At 41.2% G+C, this 7,840-nt stretch overlaps 1 pseudogene; it reads right to left on the bottom strand.

Annotated features, from left to right (window-relative positions):
• Positions 1 to 3,813: 3,813 nt before the first annotated feature.
• On the bottom strand, positions 3,814 to 6,161 carry HSPA8P5 (heat shock protein family A (Hsp70) member 8 pseudogene 5; annotated as a pseudogene).

Below are 7,840 nucleotides of genomic sequence, written 5' to 3'. Positions count from 1 at the left end.
AGATAGTTCTAGATTTACAGAAAAGTTGTGAAGATCGTACAGACTTCTCATATACCCCTCACCCAGTTTCCCCTACTGTTAACATCTCTTCATTTTATGGAACCTTTGTCACAACTAAGGAGCCGGCACCAGCGCACTGGTACTAACTAAACTCTGCAGTTGATTTGCATGTTACTAGTTTGCCCCACTGTCCTTCTGGCTCTGGATACCACATTACTTTTCTTTGCCAGCCTTTCTTGTCTGTGAGAGTTTCTCAGACTTTCCTTGTTTTGGATGACCTTGACAGTTTTGAGGAATGCTGGCCGGGTACTGTGTAGAATATCCCTCAATTTGGGTTTGTTTGATGTTTTTCTCATGGCAAGACTGGGGTAATGGATTTTGGGAGGATTACCACAAAGGGGCAGGGCCATTCCCATCACATGGTATTAAAGGGACATACATGAAATTGACATGACAGATGACGTCGACCTTATCACCTGGGTAAGGGCTTTTGCCAGGTCTCTCTCCTATAAAGTTAATCTTTTCCTCCTTTTCCACACTTTACGGTCCAAAGGCAAGTTACTGAGTGCCAACCAGTACTCAAATGGTTAAGAGTTAAGCCCCATCTCCTTGAGGGAGAAATATCTGCATAAACTGTTTAGAATTATTAGAATTCTCCTTTCTGGGCCGGGCTCACGCCTGTAATCCCAACACTTTGGGAGGCCGAGGAGGGTGGATCACGAGGTTAGGAGTTCAAGACCAGCCTAGCCAAGACAGTGAAACCCTGTCTCTACTAAAAATACAAAAAATTAGCCAGGCATGGTGACAGGTGCCTGTAATCCCAGCTTCTCGGGAGGCTGAGGCAGGAGAATCGCTTGAACCCAGGACACGGAGCTTGCAGTGAGCCGAGATTGCGCCACTGCACTCCAGCCTGGGCGACAGAGTGAGACTCCATCTCAAAAAAAAAATTCTCCTTTATGGAAGATTTAACTATTTTTAAGAGTTAATAGATGTATTTTAGAGCAGTTATATTTTTTCAGACAAATTGAACAGAGTGCAGAGTCTCCACAGGCTTCCTCTCCCTCTCTTCCCCTGCCACCTCAGCAGTTTCCATTAGCAACATCTCCCATTAATGTAGTACATTTGTTACAATAAACAAATCAATATTGATATATTATTCGCTAAATTATTAGTTACAGTTTTCATTAACTAATTTGATACATTATTAACTTAATTATAATCTAGATATTGATATATTATTAACTGAAGTCCACAGTTTACACTAGGGTTCTCTTCCTGTTATATAGTTCTCTGGATTTTATCAAATGCATAATGTGTCATGCATCCCCCATACAATCCCAAGATATGTACACAGTACCCAAATACACTCTACAAAATACCTTCACTGCCTTAAAAATCCTCTGTGCTCTGCCTATTCATCCTTCCATCCCCCTCAACCTTTGGCAACTACTATCTTTACTGTGTCTATAATTTCACCTTTTCTAGAATCTCATATAGTTAGAATCATACGGCATGTGATTTTTTTAGATTGATATTTTTCACATAGCCATAAGCTTTTAAGGTTCCTCTATGTCTTTTCATGGCTTGATAGCTCACTTCTTTTCAGCCTGAATAATACTTCATTGAATCCACGTATCACAGTTTGTTTATCTGTTCATCTACTGAAGGATATCTTGGTTGCTTCCCAGTTGTGGCAATTAAGAATAAATCCTCTATAAACATTCATGTGCAGATTTTTGTGTGGATATGTTTCCAACTACTTGGGTAAATACCAAGGAGTGCAGCTGCTGGGTCATGTGGTAAGACAACGTTAAGAAACAGACAAAATCCTACACATTGGGTACAGCGTACACCACTCGGGTGATGGATGCACCAGGATCTCAGAAATCACCACTCAAGTACTTATCCATGTAACTAAACACCACTCGCTCCCCCCAAAAACTATTAAAAAAAACAGACATTCTTCCAAGTGGCGATATCATTTTGCATTCCCACCATCAATGAATGAGAGTTGCTATTATTCTACCTCCTCCTCACCATTTGGTGTGTCAGTATTATGAATTTTTGCTATTATTCTGATGAATATGCCGTGGTATCTTACTATTTTAATGTGCATTCCCTAATGATGTGTGATATTAAGCGTATTTTCATATGCTTATTTGTCATGTGTATATCTCCTTTGGTGAGATGCCTGTTCAGATCTTTTGCCCACTTTTATTTATTTATTTATTTATTTTTGGGATGGAATCTTGCTCTGTCGCCCAGGCTGGAGTGCAGTGGCGTGATATTGGCTCACTCCGCCTCCCGGGTTCACGCCATTCTCCTGCCTCAGCCTCCCGAGTACCCGGGACCAGAGGGGCCCGCCACCACGCCCGGCTAATTTTTTGAATTTTTGTAGAGACAGAGTTTCACCGTGTTAGCCAGGATGGTCTCGATCTCCTGACCTCGTGGTCCACCCGCCTCAGCCTCCCGAAGTGCTGGGATTACAGGCATGAGCCACTGCGCCTGGCCGCTTGCCCACTTTTTAATTGGACTGTTTGTTTTCTTATTGTTGAGTGTTAAGAGTTCTTTGTATATTTTGTGTACAAATTCTTTATCGGATATGTGTTTTGCAAAGATTTTCTCCCAGTCTGTGGCTTGTCTTTTCCTTCCCTTAACAATATCTTTCACAGAAGTTTTCATTTTAATAAAATATAAGTTATTACATTTTTCTTTCATAGATTGTATTTTTAGTGTTGTATCTAAAAAGTCGTCACCAAACCCAAGATCATCTAGATTTTCTCCTATATTATCTTCTAAAAGTTTTACAGTTTAGTATTTTACATTTAGGTTTAGGATCCACTATTAATTTTTTTGTGTGTGAAAAGGGTAAGGTCTGTATCTTTTTTTTTTTTTTTTTTTTTTGTATGTACGATTGTTCTCAGCAATGTTTGTTGGAAATACTGTCCTTTCTCCATTGGATTGCTTTTGGTCCTTTGTCAAAGATCATTTGACTATATTTATATGGGTCTATTTCTGGGCTCTCTCTTCTGTTCCATGGATCTATTTGTCTATTCTTTTGCTAGCACCACAGTCTTGATTGCTGTAGCTTTATAGCATGTCTTGACATTGGGTAGTGTCAGTTTTCCAACTTTGTGCTTATCTACTTCAATATTTGTTGGGTATCCCGGGTCTTTCGCCTTCCCATATATACTTTAGAATCAGTTTGTTAATATCCACAAAATAACTTGCTGGGATTTTGACTGTGATTGCATTGAACTGACGGATTATTTGGAAAGAACTGACATCTTAACCATATTGAGTCTACCTGTTCGTGAAGGTAGACTTTCTCTTCACTTACTTAGATTGTTGATTTCTTTCATCAGAGTTTTATAGTTTTTCTCATGTAGTTTCCTTGCGCACATTTTGTTAGATTTATACCTAAGTATTTCATTTTTGGGGGTGCTAATGTAAATGGTGATACGTTTTTAATTATAAATTCCAATTGTTCACTGCTGGTATATAGGAAAGCAACTGACTTGTATATTAACCTTGTATCCTGCAACCTCGTATAATCATTTATTAGATCAAGTTTTTGTGTATGTGAATTTTTTTAATTTTCTACATAGACAATCATGTAATCTGCAAATAAAGTTTTCTTTCTTTCTTCTCAATTTCTATACCCTTTATTTCCTTTTCTTTTCTTAATGTACTAGCTAGGATTTACAGTATAATGACAAATTGGAGTGGTGAGAAGAAACATTCTTGCACTATTAATTCGAATATTTTTATGGTGCCAATTTTAAATAGTTGTATTTAAGACATTGAATTTTCCACTTACAATACAGTGTTTATGAAGCGCAATGTTATTTCCTTCCCCTGTGCTTATATTCCATATTCAAGTATTGAGAATGCCCCATAACTTACTATAGCAGCTGAACTTTTTTAAACTGCCACAGAATTTGCTACAAATTTAGATCCTTCAATGTTTTATATGTGTGGAACAATGCTACATCTATACTTGGGTCGGCTTAATCAACCTCTTCAATGGTGGGCCCTGAGGAAGCACCACCAGAGGGAGGAGCTCCACCACCAGGGAATCCCCCAGGCATTCGTCCCGGCATGCCTCCTGCACTCTGGTACAGCTTGGTGATGATGGGGTTGCAGACTTTCTCCAGCTCTTTCTGCTGATGTTCAAATTCTTCCTTCTTGGCAGTCTCATTCTCATTGAGCCAGATGATAATTTCATTACACTTGTCCAGAATCTTCTCTTTGTCCTCATCGTTAATCTTGCCTTGAAGTTTCTCATCTTCGACAGTTGCTTTCATGTTGAATGCATAGGACTCAAGTGAATTCTTGGATGACACTTTGTCCCTCTGCTTTTCATCTTCAGCTTTGTACTTCTCAGCTTCCTGGACCATACGTTCAATGTCTTCCTTGCTCAAACAGCCCTTGTCATTAGTGATAGTAATCTTGTTCTCTTTTCCTGTACTCTTGTCCACAGCAGAGACATTGAGGATGCCATTGGCATCACTGTCAAAAGTGACTTCAGTCTGAGGAACACCTCGGGGTGCAGGAGGTATGCCCATGAGTTCAAACTTGCCAAGCAGGTTGTTATCCTTGGTCATGGCATGCTTACCTTCATAAGCCTGAATAAGCACACCAGGCTGGCTGTCAGAATAGGTAGTGAGGATCTGTGTCTGCTTGGTAAGAATGGTAGTATTATACTTGATGAGGACGGTCATGTGACTCCACCAGCAGTTTCAATACCAAGGGAAAGAGGAGTAACATCAAAGAGCAGCAAATCTTGAACATTTTCAGACTTGTCTCCAGACAGAATGGCTGCCTGGACAGCTATACCATATGCAACAGCTTCATCAGCGTTGATGCCCTTATTCAGTTCTTTCCCATTGAAGAAGTCTTGGAGAAGCTTCTGAATCTTGGGGATACGAGTAGAACCACCAGCCAGGACAATATCATGAATCTGTGACTTGTCAAATTTGGCATCTCGAAGGGCTTTCTCTACGGGGTCCAGGGTGCCACGGAACAGGTCAGCATTCAGTTCTTCAAATCGGGCATGGGTAATGGAGGTACAGAAGTTGATTCCTTCATAGAGACAATCGATCTCAATATGGCCTGGGTGCTGGAAGAGAGAGTATGCTTAGCATGTTCACAAGCAGTACGGAGGCATCTTACAGCTCTCTTATTCTCACTGATGTCCTCCTTATGCTTGTGCTTGAACTCAGCAATAAAATGGTTGACCATTCAGTTGTCAAAATCTCCACCCGAGTGGGTGTCTCTGGCTGTAGATTTGACCTCAGAGATTCCATCCTCAAAACGGCACGCTCACCTTCATAAACCTGAACCAGCACACCAGGCTGGCTGTCAGAATAGGTAGTGAGGATCTGTGTCTGCTTGGTAAGAATGGTAGTATTATACTTGATGAGGACGGTCATGACTCCACCAGCCGTTTCAATACCAAGGGATTGACACATCAAAAGTGCCACCTCCCAGGTCAAAGATCAGTACATTTCTTTCTGTTCCAACCTTTTGTCTAAGCCATAAGCAGCAGCAGTTGGCTCATTAATAATTCTAAGTACATTGAGACCAACAATAGTTCCAGCATCTTTGGTAGCCTGACGCTGAGAGTCATTAAAGTAAGCTGGCACTGCGACCACAGCATGGGTAACAGTCTTCCCAAGGTAGGCTTCTGCAATTTCCTTCATATTTGTCAGAACCATAGAGGATACCTTCTCTGGATAGAAGCTTTTGCTCTCTCCCTTGTATTCCACTTGGACCTTGGGCCTGCCAGCATCATTCACCACCATGAAGGGCCAATGCTTCATCTCAGACTGGACAACAGCATCATCAAATCTGTGTGCAATCAGACGTTTGGCATCAAAAACCATGTTGGTGGGGTTCATTGCAACTTGATTCTTTGCGGCATCACCAGTCATTCGTTCAGTGTCCGTAGAGGCGACATAGCTGAGAGTGGTTCAGTTTCCCTGATCACTGGCAATTAACTCTACTTTTCCACGCTGGAAAACACCCACACAAGACTAGCTGGTGCAGGGATCAATACCAACTGCAGGTCCCTTCGACATGGTGGCTGGCACGTAGGCCTGGCTCCAACAACGAAGAAAGACACAGGAACCCCAAGAGCTGCAGGTGAGTTCAATGAGCTAATTCAATATTTTTATTTCAGCTATTCTGATAGGCATGTAATTCTGTCTTATGATTTTTTGCATTTCCCTAATGACTAATGATATTGAATATTTTTTCATGTACTTATTTGCTATCTGTAGATTCTCTTTAATGAATTTTTTCATGTCTTTTGCTTATTTTCTAATTGGATTGACTTTTTTCCTTCTGAGTTTTGAGAGTTCCTTATATAATCCAGATATGAGTATTTTATCAGATATGTGACTTGTAAATATTTTCTCTCTGTCTGTAGCTTGACTTCTTATCCTCTTAACAGAGTCTTTTGCAGAGTAAAAGCTTTTGGTGTCAAGGCTAAGAACTCTTTGCTTATGCCTAAATCCTGATGATTTTTTTTTTCTTTTCTTTCTTTTTTTTTTTTTTTTTGAGACGGAGTCTTGCTCTATTGCCCTGGCTGGAGCGCAGTGGCCCGATCTTGGCTCACTGCAACCTCCGCCTCCCGGGTTCAAGTGATTCTCCTGCCTCAGCCTCCCACATAGCTGGGACTACAGGCGCGGGCCACCACGTCCGGCTAATTTTTGTATTTTTAGTAGAGATGGGGTTTCACTGTGTTAGCCAGGATGGTCTCAATCTCCTGACCTCAAGATCTGCCCGCGCTGTCCTCCTGAAGTGCTGGAATTACAGGCATGAGCCACCGTGCTCAGCCCTGATGATTTTCTTCTAAAAATTTTATAGCTTTACCTTTTACATTTAAATCTTGACCCATTTTGAGTTAACTTTGGCATAAGGTATGAGACTTGAGGGTTTTTAAAAAAATTCTTCTGTATTTTTTTGTCTGTGGATGTCTAATTGCTTCAAAACCATTTATAGAAAAGGCTATCTTTCAGCCGGGCGCAGTGGCTCACGCCTGTAATCCCAGCACTTTGGAAGGCCGAGGCGGGCAGATCACCTGAGGTCGGGAGTTCGAGACCAGCCTGATCAACATGAAGAAGCCCTATCTCTACTAAAAATACAAAATTAGCTGGGCGTGGTGGCATGTACCCATAATCCCAGCTACTCGGGAGGGTGAGGCAGGAGAATCGCTTGAACCCGGGAGGCGGAGGTTGAGGTGAGATGAGATCGCGTCACTGCACTCCAGCCTGGGTAACGAGAGCAAAACTCTGTCTCGAAAGAAAGAAGGAAGGAAGGAAGGAAGGAAGGAAGGAAGGAAGGAAAAGGCTATCTTTCCTCCACTGAATTCCTTTGGCACCTTTGTCAAGAAGCAGTTGGGGTCATTTGTGTGGAGCTATTTCCAGGTTCTCTATTCTGTTTTATTGGTCCGTATGTCTTTTCTTCCACCACACGATTTGGTTTTATTGTAGCTGTAAGATAAGTCTTGAAATCATGTAGACTAATTTCTCCCAATTTATCTTTCAAATTGTTGTGGCAGTTCTAGCTCCTCTGCTTTAAAATATAAAATTTAAAATACTCTGCTGTATATTTACCAAAAAACTTGCTGGGATTTTTAATAAGAACTGTGCTGTATATGTATATCAATTTAGGGAGAACTGACATATTTATTATGTAAAATCTTTTTTTTTTTTTTTTTTTTTTTCTTGAGACGGATTCTCCCTCTGTCGCCCAGGCTGGAGCGCAGTGAAGCAATCTCGGCTCACTGCAAGCTCCGCCTCCCAGGTTCTCGCCATTCTCCTGCCTCAGCCTC

This window comes from Homo sapiens, chromosome 12, assembly GCF_000001405.40.
Source record: "Homo sapiens chromosome 12, GRCh38.p14 Primary Assembly".
NCBI classification, from domain to species: Eukaryota; Metazoa; Chordata; class Mammalia; order Primates; family Hominidae; genus Homo; species Homo sapiens.
This window is presented reverse-complemented; position numbering and strand designations above follow the sequence as displayed.